Here is a 13553-nt window from a genome sequence, read left to right on the forward strand (position 1 = left end):
CGCTATTAGCCAATCCAAGAAAACAATTTATCGGCTGCCGAGAATGATGCAACCAATGCAATTTCCTCCGGCTGAGGCGTGGGCGAAGACTACGGTTGATTGGTAGAGCGTGCTCCTATCGCAGAGGCTGTTATTCCTTGGGTCTCCCGGCTGAGGGGAGGAGCCGAGCGAGCGGCGGGTGTCCCTGAGAGGCCACCTTTCGACCTTCGAGGGCCAGGAGGATACGGGGAGGTGGCCGGAGGGAGTTCCCGAACACAGGTCTTCCTGTTCCCGCCGAGCAGGTGTTGGCGGTGCCAGGCCCGGCCTGGCGGGCCCGGGCTGGCAGCCAAATACCCAGCGTCTGTGCTCGGGACGGGAGTGTTCGTCCAGGACGTGCAGCTCCGGAGCCTGCGCGGGCGACCTTGACCACCTTTGTCGGCTGTTTCCCCCTGAGGGAAGTATACCTGTCCTGCCAGCCTTGGTCTCTGGCAGGGAAGGTCCTTCCAACAGAGAGGGGTGCGCACGAATTCCTTTTTGCCGCTCTTCTATTAATAGTTTGAGATTTTCCTCCCCGATTCCTTGCAGAGAGGGCCTGGTCCTCAAGGACCTCGGGATCTGGGCGCGACGTCCCTTCCCAGCTTCCTCCCGCGCGCACCGGACCAGATCTTGCTGTCGTCAGCTGGCTGGTACCCAAAGTTCCTCTTCGTCAGGCTGTTCCTTCCCCGTTAGAGTCCTTCCTCCCCAGGAGCCCTCTCCATCTGCTGACCTTCAAGACCCAGAGCGAATGCCACTTCATCCATGAAGCCTTCCCTTAACCCTTATCTGGCCAAAATGTCTCTTTCCTGTGCTTCTGTACTTTCACAATTTTAGAAAATGCCTTTGTGGTTAAAAACCTATCTCCGGGACCGGACTATCTAGGTTTAGATTCTGGCTGCCGCTTACGAATTTGGGCAGGTTTAGTCAAGTTATTTTAACCTCTCTGTGGAAGTTCCTGCTCTGTGGAAATAATAGTATTTTCCTCAGAGTTGGTGTGGGGAGTTTGTGAGTTAATACATTTACGAAGTGGTTAGTTGCATGTAAGAAGGACTCTCTAAATGTCAGCTATTATTAACATTGCATATCTGCCACACCCTTCATAGATGGTAAACTGCTTTTTTTTTTTTTTTTACTTTTATTTTAGGTTCGGGATACATGCACAGGTTTGTTTTATAGATAAATTGCTTGTCATGTGGGTTTGTTGTACAAATTATTTTGTCACCCAGATAGTAAGCATAGTACTTGACAGGTATTTTTTCTGATCCTCTCCCTCCTCCCACCCTCTAGCCTCAAGTAGGTCCCAGTGTCTGTTGTTCTCTTCTTTGTGTCCATGTGTTCTCAATGTTTAGCTCCCACTTACAAGTCAGAACATGCAGTATTTGGTTTTCTCTTCCGCATTAGTTCACTTAGGATAAAGGCCTCCAGCTCCATCCATGTTGCTACAAAGGACATGATCTCTTTCTTTTTTATGGCTGCATAGTAGTCCATGGTGTATATGTACCGTATTTTCTTCAGTCTACTGGTGATGGGCATTTAGGTTGATGCCATGTCTTTACGATTGTGAATAGTGCTGCAGTGAACATACATGTACATATATCTTTATGGTAGAATGATTTATATTCTTTTGGGTATAGACCCAATACTGGGATTGTTGGGTCGAATGGTAATTCTGTTTTAAGTTCTTTGAGAAATCGCCACACTGCTTTCCGCGGTTACTGAACTAATTTACATTCCCACCAGCATTGTATAAGCATTCCCTTTTCTCCACAACCTCACCAGAAACCAGCATCTGTTATTTCTTGACTTTTATTAATAGCCATTCTGACTGGTGTGAGATGATATCTCATTGTAGTTTTGATTTGGGTTTCTCTAGTGATTAGTGATGTTGAGTATTTTATATGCTTGTTGGCCATGTAGCTTCTTTTGGCTAGGGACCTGTGAGTCTCCCTAGGTTTCTTGCACTTACTAAGCCTTCAACAAATGGTAGAAGAGTCAATTCTCTTGGTGTTTCAGAAGAAAACAATATCACAGCCCCTCTCCACTGGATAATACTATAAATCTTAAAATGAATTTTCATTCAGAGTAATAAACACAAGCCAAAGAACTTTGTATAACATCCGTCAACTTTTTGTGTTATCTATTTCTTTTCCAAAACATTGCCTCTGGTTTTAAAGGTAACTGCCCACAGTGTTTCACTAATAACATTTTAAGCATTACAAGTTCAACACTGAAGGTCAAATGACAACGAACTTTCAGTGCTTCCAAAAGCAGGGGCAGAGGGCAACTGCTGAGGGGGGCATTGTATAGCCTAACCTTCCCAGAATTTGATTTAAAAGTATGATCTTCACAGCGTTGGCCAGCAATATCATGGTCACTCCCTACGTCATTCCCTGGGAGAAAAACAACCCTAGGTTACCTAAACAATGTTGGCGAAGACCAAATATTTATTAACATCCTAAGCCGCCCCATAATCAAGCCAATGCTGATAGGGACAAAGAAGGTGCCATGTGCAGTTTTTCTCCATGTCCCCACAATATCTGCTCTGAATTTTAAAAGGCAATTACTGGGGGAGAAGGAAGCCTATATATTATGTAGGATCCAAGTCTCAAACTGCTTTCCTAGGGAGTGTGAGGTTCTTGGAGATTAAGTGCAGTACCTTTCTGTCTTGAGCCTTGTAGGCTGCCCCTCTAATTTAATGCCAGTCTTGAAATAAACAGAATGCTTTCCAAGTCATCGCTAATTTTAACACTTTAAATTTAGAATTGCTTAGAATTGACTCAACACTGCCTCCTTGCTGAATGGATAATTCAAGCAAACAACTCAAGAGCTGGATGCTGCCCAGACAGGTAGGCAGCCAGATAAAGTGAGTGTCCAGGGAAAGAGCAGTAAGGGTCAGAAGAGAAAGAGCCTGGTGTTCTCACTGCCTCCTGCCTTCCTTATGACTGTCTGTTCAGAAGTCCTCCTAGCATCTTTCTTCTGCCTTCCCCTGCTCCTGTCCCTGAAACCTTTTCTTCAAAAGAAGTGGAAAAGAGGAACTGGGAACCCATATAGCAACAGCATCACCTGGAATGAATTCCTTTAGAACATACTGTCTTGGAAATCTGAAGCCTGCAGGGCTGGACAGGCAAGAAGAGCAGTGAGCACTGCATGAACCTGTAAGTAAATCTGCATGTGGATGGTGTTTTGGGTTTTTTTCAGACAGAGCCTTACTCTGTTGCATAGGCTGGAGTGCAGTGGCACGATCTTGGCTCACTGCAACCTCTGCCTCCTGGGCTCAGGTGATTGTCCCACCTCAACCTCTCAAGTAGCTGGGACCACAGGTGTGCACCAACATGCGCAGCTAATTTTTGTAGAGATGGGGTTTCGCCGTGTTGGCCAAGCTGGTCTCGAACTCCTGGGCCAAGCAATCGGCCTCCCAAAGTGTTGAGATTACAGGCGTGAGCTACTGCACCAGGCCACACATGCTTATTTTACTCAGTCTTGCCCCTGAATACCCGAAGGTCTAAACTTAGGAAAAAGTCAGGGGAGGGATGAGTTTGTCATTCTTTGGAGTCGTTATATTTGGGTGAGTGCTGGCACTATGGGTAGGATATTATTTAGAAGCTGAGTTGTGTGCTGAGCAAATGTTTCTTTAAAAACCAAAGCCGTATGAGATCTGTTATAGAGGCACAGTGTGGCTAAATAGTGTGCGATAAGATAAGCATAGGGCTCCTGAGGTGTTGCTGTTCTCCCACTGTAATGAGTTTACTCTTCTTCCTAAGGAAAGTGATCCTTTATCACCTCTCCTCTCAAATTCACTGGCTTGTTTCGTGAGTGTGCCTTCATGGAATCATGTCTCCTTCTCTTCCCTCAGTTCTCTCCTTCCCTCCCTTACGTATGACTCCTCCCATAATCCGCACACATGGATTGAACCAAGTGAGGGTATTTTTCTGTTTCCTACCTCATAGAAGGGCATAGAGTGGACACGGTCTAAGGTTAGTTCCTGAACTGAGTACCCACATATGCAGAACTTTATTTAAAGCTGCTGAAATCTTTGTATAACAGATAGATCAATAGGACTGAAAACTACTGATGGTTTTACTTACTTGTTGAACGTGACTAAGTTCCATGGCACCATTTAGAAATTGTGTTGTATAGTTTTCGTATGTTGCTTAAGAAACAGTTTAGCATAATGGTTAAAAGCATGGCCTCTGGAACTAGATTGCCTCTGTATGCCTCAGTTTCCTCATCTGGGAATAATAATAGTTCTACCTCATGGGATTGCTATGAGGATTAAATGATTTAATTTAATTAAATGATTTCATACAAAACTGAATTGTACTTGACACTTAGTACTCAGGTATTAACTGGGACCGTTATTATCATCACAGATGTTGTTTACAAGCACTTGCCTTTGAGATTTGTTTAGCTTTTTTATTAAATTACTAGCGGTATACTAGAACAGTACGTAGGCTGGGGCCTGGAGTCAAATTCTAGCTTTGCCTCTTATAGTTTTGAAACTTTGAGTAAATTACTTGATGTGTCTGAGTTTTAATATTCTTATATGTAATTTACTTTTAAAAAGAATTTTGCTTAGTGTTGATATACACACATTTAACACAGTTATAGAAATTATTGTTTTTACTATTGTCATATGAGGAAATTCGTCCCTGGGTTGCTGTAGGGTGCTAATGGTTAGGCAAACTCTCTTTGAAGTCTGCCTGATCTGGCCCCTTGCAGGCATGTACTCCGAAATATTTTTCAAATGGAAAAGAAAACAGAGAACACAATTTTCAAAATATCTAGAGCCCTCCAAGAAGTCTTTGTAGAGATCTATAAAATCTCAAGGCAATTTAAAGGTAATAAGACAACTTTATTAATAATTAATTAAAATGTAAATGTTAATGATAGCCCTTTGTATAGCTATATTATCTTTTTCTGAAGAATAGAAAAATGTTTTAGAAACACTATTCTCTCCACATCCTGGGGCAGCAGCCTTCTCCAAAGAAACAGAAAGAAGGAAATGGATTGCCTTAGCAAAAAAACAAATGAAGACACTCCAAATAACAGAAGAATGGGAAGGCTACAGACCTTGAAGTCAGAAGAAAATTTCCTCTCCTTGCCCCGTTTCTCCTTAAATGGATCACCAGTACAGTCTCTTACTTCTAGAGCCATGTTAAGCTTTCTTCCCCAAAGTTGTAATGTCCTTCTTTTGGTTGTGTCGTGTCCTAAAATCCTACTCTTTGGTACAAGATGAAGGTATATGAAGAGATAATGAAGGAAACAAATTCAATGTGTTTGCCAAGAACACAGTCTTTTAAATAACTCTTAAAGGGTTCGTTTAAAACAGTGTAATAAATTGTGGTAATCTAGTACACAAAGCTAGTAGGAACCTCGTTTATTAATAATATTTCAACATTGAGCAGTAGAGGGCAGCACTATCCTTCTTTTGCAAAATGTTGAGCACTCTTGAGAAGGAAAATAAAGGCAAAGCTCCTGACCCCTGTGTCTGTGTTTACTTTTACCATTAAAAAAAAACAAAAAATTGGAGTATTTTTATTATGGTTTAGGTGATTATGTATAAAGAATGTCAGAGCCTGCATTACCTGGAAGTGGTGCACCAGGTAATGCAAAAAACACGGAAGGTTTGAGGTCCCCCACTCAGGATATGGGTTCTGTCTAGTAAAGATAAACAGTAGCTTGACCCTGGGTAATCAGATAGGGTTATTGTATGAACAGACCTAATGCTCCTGCACGTTCTGGATAGAAGTCAATCTACTGAAATAGCAGGATGTAGTTTTAAAAAATGTGTGTAACTCATATAGTCTTAGCCCTGATAAGTGCTTCTAAATTCTTATTCACTGCCTTTATTCTGCTGTGTTAGTGTTGCTCTCTGTCATACGTGGGTCAGGTCAGAACTAGCTCAAATACAGTATGTGTATTATGACTTTAAGGAGTGGTGTCAGACAAGATGGGTAAAGAATGTCTTTCATGGGACTGCAGTTGGCTAAATGGCTGTGTATAAGTAGTGAAATTGAAGCCTTGTATGCTCGTCGTCATTCTATCACAGTATGATTTGAGTTTCCCTAACCGGTAAACAGCAAGAAAAAATGATCTGTTATTTTTTACTAAAGTTACTTGATGCTCTTTAGCAAGCTGACAGAATAATTCTAATTTTAGCAAATACAAAACCATGGTAATCCTAGCACATTTGGATTCTGTTTAACCCTGAAAACTCTTTTGGCAGCAAATCTTCAATGCCAATTTAGATAAATCCCACTAGGAATAAGCACTGAAAGACGTTGAGTCTAGTTCCCAGCTCTGCCATGTGAAGTTGGGCAAATTACAGTCTCTGAGCTTTTATTTCATCTGTTAAATGGAGATAATACCTCCTAGATTTATTAAAAGGGTCAATTTAGAAAATATGTATTAAAATGGTTTGAAAGCCATTTAAGTACCTAATGAATATTTCTATCACTGTAGCCCAAAAAGATTCCTGCCTAGAAGACTTTATGTCTCTTCTCCTCATTTGGTATCATTCTATTGCCTGAGATTGTTAATTAACTTTTATGTATACTCAATATTTTCTCCCAACTTGGTTGCTAGTTCCTTGAGAACTGAAACCATCAATTGCACTTCTTGGTATCCTCCACAATAAGGTATCTAGGTACTCAAATATTTGTTGGTTGATTAAAAACATAAACCACAAGACATAATTAACTCTTTTTAAAATTGTGGTAAAAAAACATGTATTTACCATCTTAATCATTTTTAAGTATACTGTATATTAGTGTTTACTATATGCACATTGTTGTGCAACACATCTCTAGGACTTTTTCATCCAGAATTCTTTTTTTTTGAGACAGAGTCTTGCTGTGTCGCCCAAGCTGGAGTTCAGTGGCACCATCCTGGCTCACTGCAACTGCTGCCTCCCAGGTTCAAGTGATTCTCCTGCCTCAGCCTCCCGAGTAGCTGGGATTACATGTGCCTGCCACCACGCCTGGCAAGTTTTTGTATTTTTAGTAGAAATGGTGTTTTACCATGTTGGCCAAGACTGGCCTAGAACTCCAGACCTCAAGTGATCCACCCGCCTCAGCAGCCCAAAGTGGTGGGATTACAGGCATGAGCAACTGTGCCTGGCCTAGCCATTTTCTATAAACCTGAAAATAGATGCCAGAAAAGAAGGTGCCGCTATAAAATGCTTTCTTGAGTGATTTATGTCTAACATACAATTAAACATTTATGAGAAGGAAATTATCAGGTTAAAATATAAACTCACTTGCCAATTATTTGATTTTCAGGATATCTGACTTTTGTTAATTACTGAAAATAAAGTATTATTTCTAATCACTATTGGTATCACAATAGCATTTTTATTTGGCCGGTATGTGTGAGGCCTGGAGTATGACGGGAAACTGTCCTAGAAAAGGCCCTTGCATTGGCTGTAGAGAGTTCTGGAACTCTCAAGATGGCAAGATTGTATTTAACTCTTTTAAAAACAATGCACCTTTTCAAGCACAGATTTTCATCTGATGTTGTGACCGTCAATTATGTCAGATTTGTTTGATATATTAAAAAATTGGTTTCTCCTTTGCACAAAATAAATTATAGATGGATATAAGATTTAAATATTTTAAACAATATAGGGAAAATAATATATTTGAAACATAGTATTAGGGTAGAATAGACTTTCCTAATCATGGCACAATCTCAGAAGCTATAAAGAAAATAATTGACTTTGCATGGCTATAGACACCATAAATAAATATGTGATAACATGGAAGAATATTTGCAACATGCTTATTAGTCACATCTGTTATATAGTCAGAGCTTCATTGTATTGGTGGAAAAATTAGGATATAAAGAAATTCAGAAAAGAATAAATACAAATAACCAGTAAACATGTCCAAAATCATCCTCATTATAAAATTGAAACCACGCTGATTTATCAATGTTTACCCATTAGACTGACAAACATTTTAAATGTTCAAAAAATAGTGTTGAGGGAAAAGAGCAATGACATGCACTATTGGGGAGACTGTCAATGAATAAAGCCTTTTCTTGTATTTTGGTAATAACAGTCAAAATGCACATAATACCATTTGACCAAGCAATTTCTCCTCTAGGAATCTATCCTAAAGAAATTTATACAAGTTTTCAAAGATAGGTATGTAGGCATACAGTTATGCATTGTAGCTTTGCTTTAACAGAAAAAGAGTAAACACATGTATTATTTTTGTAGCCTAAAAAAAAATCAAGTTTTCATTGAAAATAAAAATGACAGGTTTGAAGCAGGACAGTGGCCATGGAAGTCGAATCCACTAAGGCGTGTGTAACAAGTCACCTGCTGAGTCAACAAAAATAAATAAAAATTTTTTAAAAACAGGCTTGAGAGACACTTCACAGGAATAGAAAATTTAGATAGTTTCTAACAATGACAATGAAGTAGGACAGGAAAAAGTAATTCTCCAAAGCAAAGTATGTATGTGTGTAGTAACTTAAAACTTCAGATACTATGAGAAACTATTTTTAAATAAAGAACAATGTGGTGTGCTACAGTTTAGAGTTGATCTGGAAATCTGGGGAGCTATTGATGCTCCTTAGTTAATAAATTAGTGATTTTTAAAAATATGAATCCCCATTATCCGTAGCAAACTAACGCAGGAACAGAAAACCAAATACTGCCAAATACTGCATGTTCTCATAAGTGGGGCTGAATGATGAAGAACACATGGATACATGAAGGGGAATAACACACACTGGGGCCTGTCAGGGGTGGGAGTAGGAGGAAGGAGGGCATCAGAAAGAACAGCTAATGGATGCTTGGCTGAATAGCTAGGTGACAGGATGATCTATGCAGCAAACCACCACGGCACACATTTACCTATGTAACAAACCTGCACATCCTGCACATGTACTCCTGAACTTGAGAATTGAAGAAAAAAAATGAATCCCACAATTCTGTATCCAAAGACCGAGAACAGCTCCTGACATCGAACAGACAATAAATATTGGCTGAAGGAATGAATGAGGATATTTGCATCCGAGTTTTAATTAGAATAGATGTAAAATTGCCTAATGATTATTACTTGTTCTGCAACAAGTGTTTAATAGATACTAGTTCACTACTTATACGTGTCTAACACATCACAAAGGTTTATTTAAAAGAATTTATATAGTGCTTATTATATGTTGGGTACTGTTCTAAGTTCTTCACAAACACTAACTCATTCAAGTTGTATAAGTGAAGCAGGTGGTCTAATTATTCCATTTAACAGATGAGGCAATTGAGGCAAAGAGCAATTAAGTAACTTGCCCACGATGGCACAGCTAGACAATGGTGGGGATATGAACACAGTCTGCCTCCAGGGTCACTTCTCCATGGTGCCATATTGCATCCCACACGGTAAAAACTTACTAAATGTAAGAATGCATAAAGTGTTACTGTTTTTGAAATTATATTATGCTTTTGCCCCAGAAAGTCAGAATATTTGATATCAAATCATGTCTAAAAATCATTCCCACAACTTCCCTTTGAGGTAGAGCATATTTCTAAAATCATGTTTTAGTGTATTACTGGTTTAATAGTTGTGTTTAAAAAGAACATGGGAGGTCATTGTTCCTATGATAAAATCACTGTATTTGTTTTTTGACATCATATTCATTTCCATGACAACACTTCCAAGTTCCAAACACAGAAACATCTTGCTCTAGAAATGGAAGAGGCATAGGGCCTACAGAGAATTACATAACAATGTCAAAATTGTTTAAAGGGGTAAGGTTGTTTGTGTGTATTTTAATCTTTTGCATAACTAAAGCAATGAGTCTCCAACTTTTTCAATCAGGAATCTTTTTTTTGTATCTAAGCTTTGTAGGCTTTTTTGTTTTAAGATGGAGTCTCTGTTGCCAGGCTGGAGTGCAGTGGCATGATCATAGCTTATCACAGCCTCAAATTCCTGGGCAAAAGCAATCCTTCCACCTCAGCCTCCCAAGTAGCTGGAATTATAAGCACAACCCACCCTGCTGGCTAGTTTTTGTTTTTTGTTTGTTTTTGTTTTTGAGATGGAGTTTTGCTCTTGTTGCCCCGGCTAGAGTGCAATGGCATGATCTCGGCTCACCTCAATCTCCACCTCCTGGGTTCAGGTGATTCTCCTGCCTCAGCCTCCCAAGTAGCTGGGATCACAGGCATGCGCCACCACACCCGGCTAATTTTGTATTTTTAGTAGACAGGGTTTCTCCATGTTGGTCAGGCTGGTCTCGAACTCCCAACCTCAGGTGATCTGCCCACCTCAGCCTCCCAAAGTGCTGGGATTACAGGCCTGAGCCACCGCGCCCAGCCAGTTTTTATTTTAACCTTAGTTTAACTCCATTCCATAACAATACCAGTGTTTCTTTTTTTCATGATTCATTCATTCATTCATTCATTCATTCCATAAATATTTATTGACCACCTACTATGCGCCAGCATTGCACTAGGTGCTAAGAATAACATGATGAACAAAAAGACAAAATCCCTTTCTTCACGGATTGAAATCTAATGGGGAAACAGATAATAACAGTATTGCACAAATGAAATACTAAGATTACTAAACTGTAGCCATATCTGAGTGCTACATATCTTAATAATCTGAGATTACTAAATTACAGCCATGGTAAGTGCCACATATCTTCATGGAAAAAGTCCATGAAAGCATAAAATAGAGGGAATTAATCTAGTTGAGGCCAGTTCTTTCCCCCTCAGAATCTTCCATCCAGCATGGATAGCATTCCACTTCTAATTCCTACCCCAGCTATACCTCTTAGACCTTACAGTTTGCACATACGACAAAGTTCTGGAGTCCATGTTGGCAGCCAATGTTTTTAAGAGAAAATGGCCCATTAAAAATAATATTTTTAATTTATCGTCTTGTCATTTTATTATTGCTTCTAGCTTTTTTCCCAAAAGGCAAAAACATCACTTTAAAAATCTAATTTGCATTCATAAGATATAAGTACTTTTATCTTTGTGTTTCTGTTGGGAAATGTGAAGAATAAGACATTTCCTGTAAGAATAACATAGATCTTTATCAAGTTAAAGGAAGACACAAATATCAAGAGAAGGTAGAACCAGAAACATCTATTTGTGTTTGTTATTCTTATACTACATAGGACAAGAATCTCTAAAGGTTAAAAGGAAAACATACTGGCACTGCCCAAAGAGGACAGCTCTGTCATTGGTGGTACGTGGACATCCCCAAGTGACACGCAGCATCTCCTTCATGTGTGATGGGCATGGGGGCCAGAGCTAGGCTGCAAAGTCTCCTCTGGAAGACCGTTGTGTCAAAAGAGCAGGTGATGGGCATAGACAGGTCAAGCTCAGAGCTGGGGCCTCTGGTTCCCCCAAGGGAGGATTGGGCTGTGAGTGAGGCATGGAAAGCAGTGCGATGAGAACTAAAGGGTCCATGAACCCCATCAGGATCCCCCAGAAGGGAAGGTTATATATAGTCAGAGGCAAGAAACAATATTGGAAAAGTTTCAGAATTATAGATGGTGTGACAACCAATAGCTTAGAATGCCTTTAATGTCATATTCAGGACATGCCCCTGTTTAAGGCAATGGACCCTAAGATGAAGGACACCCTTGCTTAACTGATGTAGAGGAAGGGCCTCTTTGTCTCCCACCCTTCCCCACCCTGTATTTCCTTCTCCTTTCACCTCTTTGTTATGGCAAGTATTTATCATTTCGATGACACATAGTTTCTTCCAGGGAATTTCCTTCTCCCTTGTATTGAGCTGACTTTTATCTAGGTGCTCTAATCAAAGATCGGTCCTCAGACCAGCAGTATAGCGCCACCCAGGCGCTTGTTAGAAATGCAAAATCTCAGGCCCCACCCTGGGCCTACTAAATCAGGATCTGCATTTTAAGATGATCCTCAGATTTTTCCCAAGCACAATAAATAAAGAAGCATCATTTTACTCCCATGAGCTTCCTGGACTGTAAAATGGACAAGGCCGTTCCTGACCCACCCTGCTTACAGCTTTGAAGGGAAGATGCTCTGAGATTTAAAAAAAAATTATTATTATTATTATTATTAGTTTTTGGCTGGGTGAGGTGGCTCATGCCTGTAATCCCAGCATTTTGGGAGGCTGAGATGGGCGGATCACAAGGTCAAGAGATCGAGACCATCCTGGCCAACATGGTGAAACCCCATCTCTACTAAAAATACAAAAATTAGCTGGGCATGGTGGCACACACCTGTAGTCCCAGCTACTTGGGGGGCTGAGGCAGGAGAATCACTTGAACCTGGGAGGCAGAGGTTGCAGTGAGCCGAGATTGCGCCACTGCACTCCAGCTTGGTGACAGAGTGAGACTCCATCTCAAAAAAAAAAAAAAATTAAAAAAAGAAAGCATTTTCAAAAGATAAAAGTGCAATAGAATTATTAAATATAAAATTTATTTGCACCTGGACAACTTGACTTATTCAAACTTTTTAAGAGTAAATTAAAGATTAATCAATGACTATTTGTTTCCATAATTGGTTATATTAAATATTATCTTGAAATGTTCTAGAGTTCTGTTTTATTTTGTTTAGATCAATGATTCTTAATCCTTGCTGCACTTCAGAATTTTCTAAATTTTTCTGAAAATCCAGAGCCTGAGCCCTATTCCCAAAAGATTCTGATTCAGTGGAAGTGAATCTTAACATACTGTCAGAGTTGAAAACCATTGATAGAGATGAGTCCTGAGATGAGGAGAGTTAGATCCATTGTGTAATAAGCAAACATAGAAATGCTAAGGGACTAAAAATTGCTTGAAAAATATGGCTTGAGCTTTGCCACTGACCCTGCAAGGCTACCTCCAGGAATCTGTCCTGCCAAAATATGTGTACAAGGAGGTATATGCCTGAAGGCTCATGGCAACATTGTTTGTAATAACAAACATAATGGAAACAGTTTTAACGTCCACCAATTAGTGAGTGATTACATAAGTAGGGCACATCCATATGATGCAATACTGCACTGTTAAAATTAATGAGGCAGACCTATATGTACTGCTGTGGAAACATCTCCAAGATATATACTATTAAGTAAAACAAAACGCACAATACGTGATATATGAACTCATTTATGTAAAAGCTATGTGCATATATACATGCACATATACATAAACGTCTAGAAAGATTATTGAAGGACATGTACCAAATTGTTGACAGTGGTTACATCTGGGAATAGGAATGGAAGGGAAAGGGACATTTTGCTGTGTAAACCTCTAAACATTTTACAACAAAAACATATTCATGCACTGCTTGCATAACTATTCAAAACATATTCCAGGGCTGTCAGCTGTCATACCATCTATAATCCTGGATAATAGACTATTTAAACTATTATTTTAATATTACAATTTTGAGTGAATAATTATATAATAAATAATATAGTGGTTGACAAAAAAACAAAGCAAATCTAAATATAAACTCAAAACAAAAGCTCCTAGGACACGCAGGGCTTTTGTTATGGAGCCTGTCACTTCTTGACCCTAAGATGGCTGGAACTGTGTTTCCCTGACTTCTCTGGATACCC

General features: G+C 39.7%; 1 long non-coding RNA gene across 18 annotated transcripts in view, besides 1 other annotated feature; it reads left to right on the top strand.

Moving 5' to 3' along the window:
* Positions 5–434: an enhancer, noted in NCBI's record as "active region_3870". NCBI's record gives its function as "activates an Ori minimal core promoter by ATAC-STARR-seq in GM12878 lymphoblastoid cells {active_cell/tissue: GM12878}" and the evidence as "EXISTENCE:reporter gene assay evidence [ECO:0000049][PMID:35858748]".
* Positions 166–13553, top strand: part of GOT1-DT (GOT1 divergent transcript) — a 30898-nt gene continuing 17510 nt past the window's right edge. Inside the window, exons 1-6 of one of the 18 annotated variants that reach the window (NR_184006.1) lie at positions 166–495; positions 2776–2861; positions 2970–3170; positions 3869–3989; positions 4735–4853; positions 4944–5494. This is a non-coding gene — a long non-coding RNA (GOT1 divergent transcript). Of the gene's footprint in view, positions 3171–3868; positions 3990–4734; positions 4854–4938; positions 5495–6860; positions 7346–13553 lie in introns of those variants that run through there. The other 17 variants (NR_184000.1, NR_183998.1, NR_184003.1 and 14 more) reach the window with 17 other exon arrangements.

The sequence above is a fragment of the Homo sapiens genome, chromosome 10 (assembly GCF_000001405.40).
Source record: "Homo sapiens chromosome 10, GRCh38.p14 Primary Assembly".
Classification (NCBI taxonomy): Eukaryota; Metazoa; Chordata; class Mammalia; order Primates; family Hominidae; genus Homo; species Homo sapiens.